General features: G+C 33.8%; 1 long non-coding RNA gene across 1 annotated transcript in view; it reads left to right on the top strand.

The window, feature by feature from the left end:
• Positions 1-1,334: 1,334 nt before the first annotated feature.
• Positions 1,335-17,098, top strand: part of LOC105375976 (uncharacterized) — a 60,514-nt gene continuing 44,750 nt past the window's right edge. The window contains exons 1-2 of the long non-coding RNA NR_188496.1: positions 1,335-1,476; positions 14,105-14,233. This is a non-coding gene — a long non-coding RNA (uncharacterized LOC105375976). The remainder of the gene's footprint in view (positions 1,477-14,104; positions 14,234-17,098) is intronic.

Genomic DNA, 17,098 nt, shown 5'->3' with positions numbered 1-17,098 from the left:
TGTTAATATTATACACAGAAAAGTAATTATTACTGATGCTATTGCAGGGGTTGTGGAAGTAGTTTTTATTATTACGTATTTTTTAAAAGATTTCCTGTAACCTACCTGAGGGTGAGCATTAAACAGGCAGGATTAAGAATATGGGAAAAGAGAAGTACATCAAACAATAGTTTCTTTGCACGTTATTCTCCTATAAATTAATTTCTCTCTATTTCTATCTATAATAGAACAGTCTTTGTGCCATCATTTAGCACTTAAAATAATTAGTAGAGTTGGCTGTTACAGCTCTCTGTCACTAGATTGTGAATAATTTGAAGGTAAAAGTCTTGTTCAACTTTGATACTGCATGCCAAGCTCATAGAGTAAGTATTTGCTGAAATGAATCATTCCACCTTTGCATAATTTTGATGAATTACAGGTAAACTTATTTTTGAGGAGAAAGGTATTTCAAATTAAGATAATTTTTAGCGCCTACTTTGTTTTGGTAACTTGAAAAACTTGAGGATTATAACGATAATATAGACAAAATAGGCATAGCCCTGTCCTTAGAAAATTTTAGTCTTAGTCTAGCATGAAAGACAATTAAAAATAATACAATATAATGAGCACTTTTAAAATTAAAAATAGTTAACATATTTTAATGTGGAGATTAAGGCTTGTAGAATCACCTGGTGGTAAATCTTGGCCCTCTCATATGTAGTGACTGACTTGAGTCAGTTACTGAAACAATTTTGAGTCTAAATTTCCAATCATATAAAATTAGGAAAACAAACACTGTGCAATGTGGTCAGTAGGATTAAAGAAATAACAACCTTAAATATTCTTTCCAAAGAAGAAGGATGTAGATATGCTAAAATACAACAACAAAACAAAAGACATTGGAGAATGTATGTGAAGAAGAAACACACACTGTTACGTTAGTTTTAGTTCTCTCTGCCTCTGAACCTTCTTTTGTAGGTTTTGACATTAAACAGGATACCTCTATTCAGGCACTGGTTATAAACCACGGTGCCATTAATGTCTAAGGCTTTGTTGTTATTCCTTTGGTGGGGTTGCCTTATGTCTTAGTCCATGTTATGCTGCTATTACAAGATATCACAGATTGAGCAAATAATAAAGAACAAAATTTTATTTTCTTACCTTTCTGGACGCTGGGAAGTCCAAGATCAAAGCACTAGCATTTAATGAGGAGCTTCTTGCTGCACCATCACCTGACACAAGCATAGAAGAGCAAGCTAGCTTTACGCTGCATGAAGCCTCTTTTATAAGGTCCTTAATGAGAGCGAAGCCTTCAGAACCTAACCACCTTGGAAACTCCAACTCTAAATACTGTTACATTGACAACACCTGAATTCCGGAGTAGCTGCCTCAAACTATAGCAATTAACAAGTTAAGTGAATCACATGTGCTCTATTAGGGTAAAAGAAAAGCTTTCACGCAAATCGCTCTAGAACTTTTTTATCTTGACTCCAAAGTGTGAGTATTAAAATAATATTTTAGAAACTATAGTCGTTTCTAAATTACATAGAGGAGAGAAGAAAACAATACTGTGGGAAATATTTTTGTGAATCTTTCATTCTAGGCCTAAAATAACAAGAATGTCAGGAGAAATCAACTGAATTTCAACACTTATAAACTTTGGTTAACAAGTAATTCAAAAGAATGCAAATAAATAAATAAACAAATAAATAAAAATAGAAGCTATTAAATAGTAAAATAAGTTAGTTTGAAAAGTACATGGTAACTGTTTTTGGAAAAAATAGACAAACTTATGCCAAATCTTATCAAGAAAAAATATAGAGAAACCAACAAGGTCAACATTAGGTTAAACAAAGTGCATGTATAACCTAAAAGCAGAAAAAATTTATATGGTATTATATACTAATAATTTGAAAAATCAGATTAAATAAAATATTCCAGAGAGATATAGAATATTTAATTAGGAAGGCTTAGAAAACTTGAAATAGAAATAGATTTTAAGATTCTAAATAATAGGCTCACATGGTACTGAGACTTCTGCCAAACCTTTAAACTAGAGATGATTTCTCTGATTTTAAATGTCTAGAGCAGACAAAAAACATTTCTTTATTACATAAGATTACTATAATTCTAACATACAATCTAGGAAAATATTACACATGACAGGGTACTCTACACCAAACTTACATATAACCATAAAATAATATTCTAAATAAAATATGGGTAATTTAATACAGAATTATATTAAAAGAATTTTGTGGTGTGATTTAGAAAGTGTTAATATAAGATTGAAAAAATTATCAAGATGTGGAAAATGACTTATGTGATTCACTACATTAAAAGATGAATGAAATCTCCTTAGATATGAAAAGATATTTGATAAATTCAATATCAATTCCTGAGTAAATAATGAAACACTTATGAATATAAAATTAAAGGGAAACTTATCATGATAAAAATATATCTTTTAGAAATTAATATTAAACATGATGTTTTATATGGATATTTGATATTGATACTTACAGAAACTCTTAAAAACATGACCATTAAAATTATGAAAAACTGAAATCACTAGTATAACATTAAAATGTCCTTACCATAACAAATATGGTAAGAAAAAAATAGATTAAGATAAATAAATGTTTAAAAAGAGACGAAAATTTATGATTTGGCGATGATATGACTATTTAACCCCAAGTTCAAGAGAATATGTATTGGAGTAGCCCTTCAGGAGACACTTTTTCAATGCCTACTCAATGAATGTACATTCACCTTTTAAGAGCCTACTCAATAGACATGGAATTATTAATGTTTATATTTACAAATACAGTTGACTCTTGAACAACACAGGTTGAAATATGCAGACCCACTTATATGCAGATACACCCAGTTTTGCATCTGTGGGTTTCCCATCTGCAACTAAACACGAATGGAAAATACAGTATTTGGGGATGCAAAACTCATAGAAACCAATGGCTGATTTTTGTATACTTGAGTTCCACAGGCCAACTGCAGAATTTGAGTGTGGGTGACTTTTGGTATTAAAGAGGACTCTGGTATCAATCCCCTACAGATATAGGTAGGCACAAGTATATGTTTATTTGAGCAAAGAAAAAAAATCAAGGAAAACGCTAGCTAAATAATTTAATACATCTTTTATATGAAACATGCAGTATATTAAAACAAAGATTTATATGTCTGTGTGCCGATAGGACAGAACATTTATTATATAGTGATGAAACGTAAAAGGAGAAATATATGTATATGTCTAATAGAAAACTGTCAGATAATATATATTACATACATAATGTAATCTGAAATTATACTCATTGTTTTACATTTAATTTAGATTAGAATAATTTGTGAAGAATATACTGACAATCTTCATTTCATAAAGGTATGTTAGGGGTTCACATTTTTTTAAGTGCTTCCATTTTTTGAAGATTATGTCTTATTAAAAATAGAAAGCTTAATAATTACATAAAATTTTAAATGGTAAAAAATAATCCTGTTAAAATAAAAAATATGTAAATATAATTTGGATATGCTTTTATACATTTTAAAGTAATAACAGGAACACATTCTTTAAGTTTTAATCAGAACATTTATAAAGCTATTTTTTGGAAACTCGTGTACTATTCCCTGAACTATTCACTTGAATTTTGAGTGTTGCATTATAAATTGAGGATCATATATTTGATAATTGTCTCAACCCAAGAAACAAAAAGTTATAGTTTATTTATTTTTCCCAAGGACATAATTTATCCTATTTGTCTCAAATTCTCATGCAATACTCAGAAAATATAGTTCTGAAGATGGAAGTATTTGCATAATGCAAAGACTTGTTTTAATCAATTTCCTTTTATTGATCAATGCTTGTATATTTTGGTAGATTTTATCAGAAGGAATTATAACCTCATAACAAAGAAACTCTTTAATCAATTTTCATGCATCAAATGATAAAATGTAGTTTTGAATTTGAGCAATCACTAGATAATACAGTACCTCTCTAAATAAATTTTTATATTATTTTTGTTGATAGGCATTCCAGTAAATTTTCCAGAGGAATGGTTGAAAACAACTTTTGTTTCTGAAGCCTCAAACTTCCAACGTAATTATGGAAATAGAAAACTCAAAGTCCTAAACAGAATGGGGTGCAGATTGGGGGTGGCATGAATTAAGAAGAGAGAGTAAGAGTCTATTCCTAATATCATATCCAGTCAGGGTTTTAGTTTTTAGTCTGAGACAGTCAATTTATAAATGAAAGTATACTTTTAATGTTATATTCTAATTTCATGAATTTATCTGCATTTTACAAACTCAAGTCCGAAGAGCTATATAAATTGAATCATATTCTCATTGTTAAAAACAGAATTAAGGGAGAAGAGACAGTATTTTTTGTTATTTATCCAACTAAATAGTAGGTTCATGTTATTTTTAAGAATCTTTTTTTTCTCTGACTTCAGGAAGGCAAACCATTTATTTGATTCATCGCTGTCAAGAACACTTCTCTGGAGATAATTCACTTGCTCTGGATATAGAGCAACGTGTTTTCAATCCTTTGTACAGTTTCCCTAACAACCCAGGATTTATTCTTCTACCTGTCACTTCTAGGATGCAAGCAACTATTTTCTATAACTATGAAAGGCTTCAGAATGCCTAGAGGGCCAATGGTTAATGTCAATCAGACTACTTGATGGTGCCCATATGTCCAAGGTATTATGTGGATAAGAAAATTGGGAAAAGAATTTAAAAGAAGAAAGGAAGTGATATCAATTGTAATAAGTTCAGCAAGCCATGGGCAGGGTATATGTTTTTAGGTTGAAGACAAGTTAAGGCTATATTCAAGTTATGAAATAAAAGCTGACAGAATACACTTCAGATAAGACAGATTGAGGAGACCAGCATGTATGCCAAGCCCAAAATATTTTGTTACAATGTCACTTCTCTTCAGATTGCTCTACATATTAGAGTATCTCTTACCATGTTATGAAATACTCATATAAGAATGCAGGACAGTTATTGCCATATCAGTAAGGATTCTTACAATTTTATTTTGTTAGTGAGAGAAAATTTCATTCAAAGTAAAAGAAAGAGAGAGAGAAAGAGAGTCGGCAGTGAGTCGGGAGCTCACTAGCTTAGGAACCTGAAAATTCATGGGTATATTCAATTTTACCCATCACCACATATTAAGGGCTCGTTCAGGCTCGTTTCCTGTTCATTTCTGGCTGCCTTCTACAAACCTGGTTTCATTTTTAGGTTCCACATGGAAGTCTGTAAAAATTATGAATGTTTTTCTTACAGTCACAAGTTGGTTACAACAATCCAGCCTTACATTATAAAGCCAAGACAGGCAGAGAAAATTTCTGTTTCCCTCCCAGGAACGCAAACAAAAAAAGCCTCTGTGTGCTTCATGGGTTGCTTCATATGCCTACCTCTAAATGGATCATGTCAACAGAAAATAAAATGTGGTGCCTCTCAGGCCTAGTTTATTTCTTTCCATACTAGAGTGAAATCAACTCTAAAAAGAGTAGACATTTGGCATAGGGGGTTGTGAAGGATTGGTGATACCAGAGTTAAAACAACATATAGCTACATGAAGAGTGAATAGATATTGACAAAGCCAACAAATATCTGCAATTTAAATATAGTTAGCATTATAAATCACATCTATTAAAGCTGCGTGTACATGTTTGACTCCCCTATATGATTGTGTGACACTACCATTGCCATTTCCCACGTCTAACAGCTATGTTCAGGTGAAGACAGCATTTTTCATTTTCAAATCCAAACTGAAATTTCTGAGAAAGACTCTGATTAGCCCTACTTGGGTTATTTGCTCACCCCTAGACCAGTCTATTAGGTAAATGGACTATCACCTTCAGGTACAGATGATGTGTTATGAATATTGTTAGAAATGTATCATGGAGGGCAATTCTCCACCAAAGCCACATGATTAGAAAGCGAATATCCCAGAATAAGGATACTACTGCTCAGGCAAATGAAATAATATATGTCCACCTGAGTAATTACGTTTGTCCACCACACAGTGCCTGTCATTGTGCCCTTCTCACATTATGTGATCAACAATATTCCTAACTTCAATTAAATCTCTTTTTTCACACTAGGGTATCACATATAATTGTTCTCAAATTGCCAGTTCATTTTCAAAATAGTATTAAATTGGGGTGGGAAATTATTTTCATTTTAACCCAACAACTGTTTGCTTATAATGCTGGTTTTCAAAGCCATGGGTTTAAATTCACTTTGAAGTCTTAGCTTTACCTTAATTCAAGACTACCAATTACAGCTCCAACCCAAGCTAAGCATTTCACAAACATATGTTTTGTGCAAAAGGGAAGCTGGGTGTGCAATAAAAAGAATGGTTTTTAGCCTTGTGTTGCTCATTATCACTATTGTACAAAAATTCCCAAAACAGTTGAGGATGGCAGCCTAGACTCATCTTTCAATGTTCTCACTTTACTATATGTGTTTTCATCCCCTAGAGTTCATCAAACGTACTCTTCCCTTCCTTGCCTCTACATGCCTTCCGTAATCATCCCCATGATATTTTCTTTTCTGTCTCCTATTCATGATGAGCTTAATCTGAGTTCTTGTCACATTTTTGAGAAAGTCTTGGATGATTTTACTTACATCAATTTTAAAAATCTAGTTCTTCAGTTGTACTAGTCACATTTCAAGTGCTCAATAGCCACACATGTCTCATAGCTACTGCATCGGGAAAACAAATTAGGTGATCCAATTTAGTCTCATAATGACCCTTGAGATAGATACTACATATTATCACCATTGCATATGAGAAAAATGTACACTTAGATTAATAACAGTGAAACTTTTATGGCACTTACTATATGGCAGGCACTGCTCTTTATGCTTTACAAATACAATGGTATTGCTTGATTTTAATTCTCTCTATGGTATTAAAGAAATTTCCCAAAGTAATGCAATTAGTAAGTGGAGCAGGGATTTGAAACCCAGATCATCTGGTACCTTCTTTTTATCTTGCCTTTCTAACTGACTAAAGGGCACTTGAAAGGCTATTCAAGCAGAGTAAAAAAATGAGATTTTCAAAAAAAGTCAGTCTTATTTGATTCAAAAGTAAATGTTTTCAACCTTCCCTGTACTATTGTAGCTCGAATCTAAAATTAATGATATATAGAAATCTTGTAGGGGACAATGGTCAATAGCATGTAGACTTAATTTCCGGAGAAAATCCTCAAAGGCACAAACAGAGATCTCCTTCTTCCAAACTAAGCAGAGCAAACTAAAATATCAGGGAGGCTTCAACTAAGTTCATTGTGCTCAGCATACATACCACTATCCCTTTCTATTTATGTACATGGTACTTAATTTGTTTGTGTGTTGGCTTTCTCATCTATAACCTAAGTAGTGTATTGGAACTGGTTTTATAAGGTTGTTTTGCATATTAAATTAAGACACGTCAATAACTTCAAACAGTGCCTGACACCTAAACTGCATTCAATTTATATTAAACAGTTTTTACTATATGATAATTTTATGAATCAGATACTACCACAATCCCCATTCCACCTCGGCCAATAACTTTGATGGGCTTCTACTTGCTCCCTTTTCATGGTGTCTTTAAATATTATATGTGTAATGTGTGGTTAAAAGGACCTGGGGGGACAAATTTTCTATGTCATCCTCTTGTAATGAGAGCAAGGTTCTCATCCTTAAAGTAGGAGAATGACTGAGATGTCAGGCTGTGGCATTGTAGTTTCCGAGTTTGAATCATGGCCTGACACTTTATAGCTGTGTAAACTTGAAAAACTTATTTATGTTTATTTCTTTTTCTTGGAAGTATTTGATTGTAACTACATCATAGTATTAATATTTTGTGGATTAAATTTAAAAATAAAATCTGCAAAACTAGAATAAAACATAATTGGCTTATTATAATGCCAGATTCATGTTAGTTATTACAGATTAAATGGAGGCTCCCTAAAATCACATACATACATACATAAACTTCAGATAAATAACTGTATTAGTCAGGGTTCCCTAAAGAGACAGAACTTATAGGATAGATGTGTATACAAAGGGGAGTTTATTAAGGAGTATCGGCTCACATTATCTCAAGGGGAAGTCCCACAATAGGTCATTTGCAAGCTGAGGAGCAAGGAAGCCAGTCTGAGTCTCAAAACCTCTAAAGTAGGGAAACCAATAGTGCAGTTTTCAGTCTGTGACCAAAGGCCAGAGAGCCCTTGTCAAATCACTGGTGTAAGTCCAAGAGTCGAAAAGCTGAAGAACTTGGAGTCTGATATGTGAGGGTAGGAAGCATCCAGCACAGAAGAAAGATGAAGGCCAGAAGACTCCGCTAGTCTGCTCATACCACTTTCTTCTGCCTGCTTTATTCTAACAGCATTGGCAGCTGATTAGATGGTGCCCACCCAGATTGATGGTGGGTCTGCTACTCCCAGTCTACTGAATTAAATGTTAATCTCCTTTGGCCACACCCTCGCAGACACACCTAGGAACAATACTTTTAATCCTGCAATCCAATCAAGTTGACACTCAATATTAACCATCACAACAACTATTGAGCACATTGTATGAACTTAGAACCATGCAAGACACTAAAAAAAATCAATCTTGAGGAATAATGTAACATACTATTATTAGTTAGATGATGATATAACAAAATAATTTTGAACATATTATTGACTTTAGCATTGGAAGACGACTATCCTTACATTATAGTCAAGTCAAATCTATTTCTTTATCAGAAGTGAGTTAACACAATTTGTTTGGGAGTATCATTTGGTTCTTGGTCACCTCTTCCTGGCTTGCTCATGTCATTATACCCAGAAGCTTGCAGAGAAATACTGAGTTTAATTGTCAAGCCTATTCATATTCAATTTGCACCTTTAAGGTTACTATAGTGTATAGTTCACACACAGTAACAACATCAAATATCCTCCATGTGTATACCAGAATCAAGTTTGCAAAAGCACAGAACACTTACGTGTGCATCCATTTTGTGCTGTGTGATAGAAAACCACAGACTGGTAATCTACAAATAACAGAAATCTATTTTCTCACAGTTCTGAAGGCTAGGAAATTCAAGATCAAGGCATTGGCAGATTGAGTTGTCTGGTGAGAATTACATGTGCTATAGGGGACACATTTAGGCCATAGCATTCTCTTTTTGCCCTTTTCCCTTCTTCCATGTGAAGAAAAAGTGTTCCTTCCTCCAGAGGATGCTGCATTTGAGGCACCATCTCGGAAGAACAGACTGAACCCTTATGAAACAACAAACCTGCTGGTACCTTAAATTTTTGATTTCCCAGTCTCCAAAATTATGAGAGATAAATTTCTGCTCTTTATAAATTACCTAGTCTATAGTATTTTGTTGTAGCCACACAAATTGACTAAGACAACTTACTTTGTATTATTTTGCTGAAAAATACAAAGGAAGATCCAATTAGCTAGATACCCTGCATATACGAAGAGGATCACAAAACTTCAGTGTAAGTCTTTGACAATTTGTGTTTTACTTCTGACTTTAGACTATTTTATAACAAAATTACTGTTTTATACAAAGGTCTGTATCAAGTCAGAACATAACTCATTGTAAATCGTCCTCTAACTATTTCAAGTGTATCTTACACCCTGTCAGGAAAAAGAGGTAGCATAGCAAGTCCTAGCTATCTGGAAGATACATAAATTACTTATAAGTTGATAATACTCTAGATTCAGATTGTATGATCATTAAGCACTTTTTAAAATCATTTTTAATGCAGTAAACAAATGGAAAGAAAAAGAAAAGGCTAATATGGCATAAATATATGATCCATAAAACTAATTTCTCAGAATAAATTAATAAATTGTCATTAGACACTTGGCAACAGGTAGTGGGAAATACAACAACTTTGATATACAATAGAAGTAATTATATTACATCAATACTGGCACTATTATCTATGAGCTCTGTATTCATAAAGTATTCGATGAGTCTGAAACTTTGTTTTCTCTTCTATAAAATTTTTTAAAAAGGATTCACCTCACATAATCGTAAAAGTAAAAAAAAAGTAATGTGAAGTACCAGGTAGGTACAGAGTCTGGCACACAGAACCTGAAATTTAAGAAAGTTTGCTGATTATTGATTATGATAAAAATAAGTATTGAGGTCAGAAGTGGTGGCTCACGTCTGTAATCCCAGCTCTTTGGGAGGCCGAGGTGGGAGAATTGCTTGAGCCCAGGAGTTTGAGAACAACCTGGGAAACATAGTGAGACCCCATCTCTACAAAAATAAAACTAGCTGGGTGTGGTGGTGCACACTTATAGTCCCAGCACTCAGGAGCCTGAGGTGAGAGGATTGCATGAGACTGGGAGGTCAAGGCTGCAGTGAGCTGAGATCCCACCACTGCAGTCTAGCCTGGGTGACAGAGAGAGATCCTGTCTCAAATAAATAAATAAATAAATAAATATTTAGTTTATATTTTATTTGAAGAATGAGATATTGGATTTATTATGTTATCTTCCTAGCATTTGGTTCTAGAATTAAAATTGAAATGAGTCTACAAATATGTATTTCACACTGAAAGTAAAATTGCTTTTTGCTGAAAATATAAATTATATATTTTTAAAGAGATAAAATGAATTTAATAACATAGTTTATATACTGGATATGATGGTCATTTACAACATTTTCTGGCTTTTTGTGACTTTAAAGTTAAGGTAAAATTTACATAGAGTAGAAATTCTATTCGTTTTAATAAAAATATATACTTACAGAAATGATAGGCATAGGAGGCAGGGAAATTCTGGGCAGAAGAGAGTAGGTCCACAAGTGAGGGCCCCATTCTCAAGCCTGGAACTGTGGCTTGAGACATACATCCCTGTTTTCCTGAGGTGAGTAAAGTGAGGACATACATTCCTGTTTGCCTGCCCAAATGTTGCCTCTCCCAAAACCAACCATGGCCTACCTTGCCCCCCATCCTGTGCGCATAAAAACCCCAGACTCAACTTGCAGAGATGAGAAGCAGCTGGACGTCAGAGAATATGGTTGAACATTGGAGAGAAGCAGCTTGACTTCAGAAGGACAGCTTGCCAGCATAGCTTTGGAGAGGAGTTCAACCATACCCAGCCACAATCTGGGGGAAGATTACCTTCCTACTCAGTCCCCTTTTCAGCTCCCCTTCCCACTGAGAGACGCTTTTATTGGCAGTAAAATCCTCCTCATTTACCATCTCCAATTTGTTCAGGCGACTCATTCCTCCTGGATGCTGGACAAAAACTTGGGTGTGGGTGCAAAAGGTTGTCACACTGACCCTCCACTAAGTTTTTAACACTTAAGGCATCACGGATGGCAAAGGTAAAAGAGGACTGACTGAAACACTCCTTCTGGGACTTCAGACATCACAGGCACACCCTTAGGTGATGCCATGGGGCCATTACAGAGTTCATTCCTGCCAGCGCCCAAAAGCACTCACCTCAGCCCCTGCGGTCACTTACCTGCATGCTCCCTTCCACAGGAGGTTGAGCACAGCAGGTTTGCGTGAGTGGAGTTAGTCTCTGCTAGCACCTTCGCACTCCAGTTCCCACCCATGAAGGGGTCAGGGGAATTTCCTGCTTCAGAACCACCACTACAATCAAGATATAGACCATTTCCATCACTCTGGAAATGTTACCTCCTTCCAGTTGATCACTATATACACACAAAAAAGCACCTCTTACTTGTTAATTGACAAATAAAAATTATATTTATTTATTGTGTACAAGATGATGCTTTGAAATATGTATACATTGTGTAATGGCACCACTAAGCAAATTAACATGTGCATTACCTCACATCCTTAACATATGCATTACCTATCATACTTTGTAGTGGGAACCCTTAAAATCTGCTCTCTTAATGGTTTTCAAGAATATAATATACTGTTGTTAATTACAGAAGGAATAAATTCAATATATCTATTGTATAACATAGAATATACTGCTCTGATTTCTGTCTTTTTAAAATTTTTCTATTGAGCATGTCAGTTCTAGAGACTTTCCAATCAAATGATTTGTACAAAAGGACCATAGTAAACAGATATGATTCAAGGTTGCCATCAGTCAGATGCTAACCCAACAGTCTAGAAGTGATAAAACATTTCAAAATCTTGGCCTGTGGTCATGGTAGTCAAGCTGTATATTTTTATTTTATATCTACTACATAAGAAAAAGTAGTGAATGTATTCCAACAATTATTTTAACTAAGGAGATCATTTTGATGTTTTAGCAAAAGATGTACCTCTGTTTCATCATTGTATGCTTTAAACTACTAGAACACATTATTTTGTAATAAAATTTTATTTGATATGAAGAATTAATTGCATACTTTCTTAAAAATGCACTATGTAACTTAAGTTGTAAATTATCAGCAAAAATTACTTTAAATAATTAGAAACAGATAGTTAGAGTTTTTAAACTTTTAGTGGATATTGCAAAGTACAGAAAAAACTGTATTTTGAGGACTTTATATAATTATAGATCTTGGGCTAAGGTAGAAGCAAAAATAATTTTTCTTTAAAGTATATACATAGTCTAGGACAGTCAGCTACAAAGAATTGATATCGTATCAATGACATCTTTTAAATTTTTTTTTGGTTTTCACGATAAATGTCAATGCAGAAATAAATGAGCCACCTTTTATACAGTATAATACAGTAATTCAACCATTGTGCTTTGGGCTAAAGGGAAATGTCCTTGATTTTTTAGGTGGATGGTAATTAGTTCCTATACCAAATTCTACCATGGAGTCTTATTAAAATTGATTCTGAATAATGATCCCTATACTTTTATTCCTAGTGTTTGACATGTCTGACAGAATCTCTGAATTTTGCATTGACCAAGATGTCTCTTGGTCAAGTTAAGATGTCTCTTAACTTTTGTCATACTCTAAACCACATTCTTCCTGTCCTCTACTAAGAATTAGTTCAATATATTTTCTAAGAGGCTGAGAAACCACACATACTCAAAAAGGTCATTAATATCAAATAGTATTTATTAATTTTTAATTCAAACAGAGGTTCAAAGCTGTACTAATCAAGTTAATGAGACATAACATTTTAAGGTTTTAGACTGAGACATAAAAATTACATTTTGTGTAGTATGTATGGTAGTTGATGACATATTTTGATAATTAACAAGAGTTTGGTGATGAAATAAGTTAATGGAAATAATACTTACGGATATATATTACATTGGAATTTTTTTATTTTTTATTTATTGTCAAAATAGAAAGACCTACTATTTGATAGCACAGTGGGATGACTCTAGTTAATAATAACTTAAATTTATAGTTTAAAATCACTTAAATAATATATTGGATTATTTATAACTAAAAAAATAAATGCTTGAGAAGATGGATACCCCATTCTTCATGATGTGCTTATTTCACATTGCATGCCTGTATCAAAACATCTCATGTACTCATAAATAGATACACCTATTATATACCCACAAACATTTAAAAAAAATATAGTAGTGATCACTTATTTTTTTTTCTTTGTCCTCTTTCCATTCTCTTTTATTTATTCATCTTCTCTTGTCGAATATTTCAGTCCTAAAGACATTGGACGAGGCAGATAAAGACAGGCATCTGTGCCAGAAGTGAGGAAGAGGAATATGACAGCTGAGAACATGGAGTTAGAGCTAAAACAGGATGATGATTGAGTCAACTCAGGGAACTTCTTAGCTTAGTCAGAGCAAGCAAGGAAATGGTCCAAAATAGGTGTCACACCCCAAGCAGACTGAGGAGAGAATCCAAATGAGTGGTGGCCTGGTATGGGTGGGTCATAGCCTATACAGGATGATAATGGCACTTATGGAAATTGGTGGCAATCGAGAAGGAAAATTCACCAGGAAATTGATCGAATAAGGAAATGTGTTAAAGATAATGACATCTAAGTACATTGCTTTCAAAACAAGATGTTACAAATATTAAAATAGAGAAAATTAGACTAAAAATTATAATATTGGACTGCAATTGGAGGTATTTGTATGAATTCGTGGTTTTAAAAATATATAGATAAACATTGAAATAAATATAGATGTAAACATCTGTGAATGCATGTATATCTCTGTCCACTGACAGGACCCAGAAGCAGTGACTTTCCAGTGCTAAGGAGCATATCTCACAACCAGATCATGACTTCTAAAACACAAGGACTTAAAAGGAACAAGGACTTTTCTGAGAAATGACTGATTTCCTATGACTGAAAAGGTAAGTACTGATGGAAGAGGTGTCAGAGCTCCAGCATAGGGAAGTGGTTGACTTGAGGCTTGGTAAGAAGAATTTACCAACAAGAGTATAGGTTTAAAAGAGGAAAGTTTTATCAGAAAGCATGTTGTGGAAAAGTACAGTGGGGTGCCTTAGAGAGAGGACTAAGCATGAGATGGTGGATTTTCCTTAAGAGCATTTATAAACCTTAAGACAAGAGCTTAAGGGTAATTTGGGCCATATTAGTCACCTGGGTCAAGACAAATGATTACATTTGTAGACATTTTGGTGCCTTAATGTCAGCAAGGAATGCACAATGAGTTTTGATATGCATGCATTCCAGAGATGTATAGAAATTCTGGTTACTTATAGAAGCTGAAATAGGCCTGGAACAAGATGCTGACTTTAGTTACCAGAGAAGTTAAATTACTTTAAAATTCCCCAGATAAGGAGTTTTGCCTCCGAATGGCCTATTAAATGGTCACCAGGTAACCTTTGGTCCCTTCTAAATTCCTCAGATAAGGAGTTTTTTTTTTTTTTTTTTTAATCTAGAGGGCCTGTTCAATGGTCACCAGGTGATTTTTGCTCTCCTCAAGTACAAGATGAACCTAGGATATATTTTTGTACCAGAGATCAAAGGAGTGCTGAAGGAATAATGTGGACTTGGCAAAATGACACTGGCACCAACTTGAATGCATTGTCCCTGGACAAATCTGGGACAATTTGAGCATCAAAGAAAACTTTCAGTAATTATTTTAACCCATTTAACAAAATAGGAGTCCTATAAGTCAACATACATACAAATAAATGAAATAATTGAAATTTGAATGAGTAGCAGGATATATTAGATGACAGTGGTAATTTACATATTAGAGTTTTAAAAAGAGGAAGAAGAGATGTTTTGATGAATAGAAGTATGAATACAAATTCAAAAATTAATTCTGAAAATATTACACAAGCAAATTTTAACGTAATATTGACAGTAACATTTATGGAATACTTTGTGTCAGAAACTGTGCTTAATATTTTAGTTTTTATAACATTTTGTCTTGACAAGTATCATAGGTTAGGTTTATTATTTCTCCTATCTCTACATATAAGTAAAAGGAGGCTTGAAAGTTAAAGTACCTACTTAATATGTCAGAGTTATCTAACTCCATTACACAGTGTTCCTCTCTGTATTGTACTATTCTCTATCTCAGAAACAACAAGTGTAGCTTTTTGATACACTTTTGTTTTATATTTGTACTATTGCCTGTGAACCTAAAAAATTTGAGACAAGTCTCAGTTAATTTAGAAAGTTTAATATGCCAAGGTTGAGGATGTGCACCACTGACACAGCCTTAGGAGGTCCTGATGACATGTTCCCTAGGTGGTTAGAGCACAGTGTGGCTTTATACATTTTAAGGAGACACGAGGCATCAATCAATATATGTAAAATGAACACTGGTTCGGTCTGGAAAGGTGGGACGACTCGAAGCGGGGAGGGGGATTCCAGGTCATAGGTAGGTGAGAGATAGACAGATGCATTCCTTTGAGTTTCTGATTAGCCTTTCCAAAGAGAAAATAAGACATGTATTTATCTCAATGAGTAGAACGATGACTTTGAATAGAATAGGAGGCAGGTTTGTCCTAAGCAGTTCCTAACTTGACTTTTCCCTTTAGCTTGGTGATTTTGGGGGCAACAAGATATTTTCTTTCACATTTACCCCCGTTTTTAAAAAAAATCTTTTGGAGAAAGCATTTTAGAAAAAAAAAAAATGAGTCTTTGGTCCCAGGTTTCATCTAATCTCTCATGGCTAGGATGGTTTACTCCTAGACAGGTAGATCTCGAGTTATTAGGAAAGCTCATTTTTAGCAGCTTGTGAAGTCTCATGTCCTCTGAAGAGAAAATAGGGGGAGGAAGGGAGAAGAACAATAACAACAAAAAAAGAAAAATCCTGGAAAATTAACGTAGGCCACATTACTCTGAAGTCCATACATTAGTAGGCAGGTATGAAAGTGTCTTATGTATGTGAATACATTGCTGTTTTTTTCTTCTGAAGTTTAAGTTGTCTAGATTCAGTTCATAGGCTTTATGAAAGCACAGCTTATTTTTCAGTGATTTCAACTTAGGAGAAAGTGGTAGAAAAAGAAAATAAAGCAGAAAAAAAGAAAATATTATTTTGGAAACTTAAAGCAAGAACAAAATAGAATTCAGTCCAAACTATATAAAAAATTCAAAACATTAAGCAAGACTAGAATCTAACAACAGGTGTACTATAGTTTTGGAAACATAATTTTAATCTCTCCAGTTTCCCATTTTTACTAAAGACAAATCATGGTAGGACCAATTTTCTTTATTAAACTTGGCCAGATTTTTTGTATAAAGTACAGCAAGAATAATTATTTTTCACATCAGCTTTATAAAATTGGCTTTGATGAAACTTTGTGCCATAGAAGAAATCTCAGATAAGACTATTTTTAATGCCAAACTCAGCCATGGATTTCTGTCACTAACTATATATGAGTTAGGTAAATTTTTTCTCCTCTTGAGGTTCCAAGACAAACCTGAGTCTCCTGGACCTGTCAGAAAGTGACATTTTTTATTTACCACAGGTCAAATACCCTGTACAGGGACTGTGTAAATGATGAGGCCAGTTTTCCCAAGAGCTTTTATTGACTCCATAAATTAAGTTTGATTCCTTAAAGGAAAGCACACCATTCCAGTCAAAGCCTTGGTAAAATAACCAGTTTCTCCAATTGTGTTTTGTTACAAATGAAAACAGATTCTTATTGCACTTATGCAAATAACTGTATTGCCGTAAGTTAACAATACTCACAAATAGTTTCCAAATTCTGGAGAAATCAGGTAGAGAGAAAAAATAC

Source organism: Homo sapiens, chromosome 9 (assembly GCF_000001405.40).
Source record: "Homo sapiens chromosome 9, GRCh38.p14 Primary Assembly".
In the NCBI taxonomy this organism is placed as follows: domain Eukaryota; kingdom Metazoa; phylum Chordata; class Mammalia; order Primates; family Hominidae; genus Homo; species Homo sapiens.
This window is presented reverse-complemented; position numbering and strand designations above follow the sequence as displayed.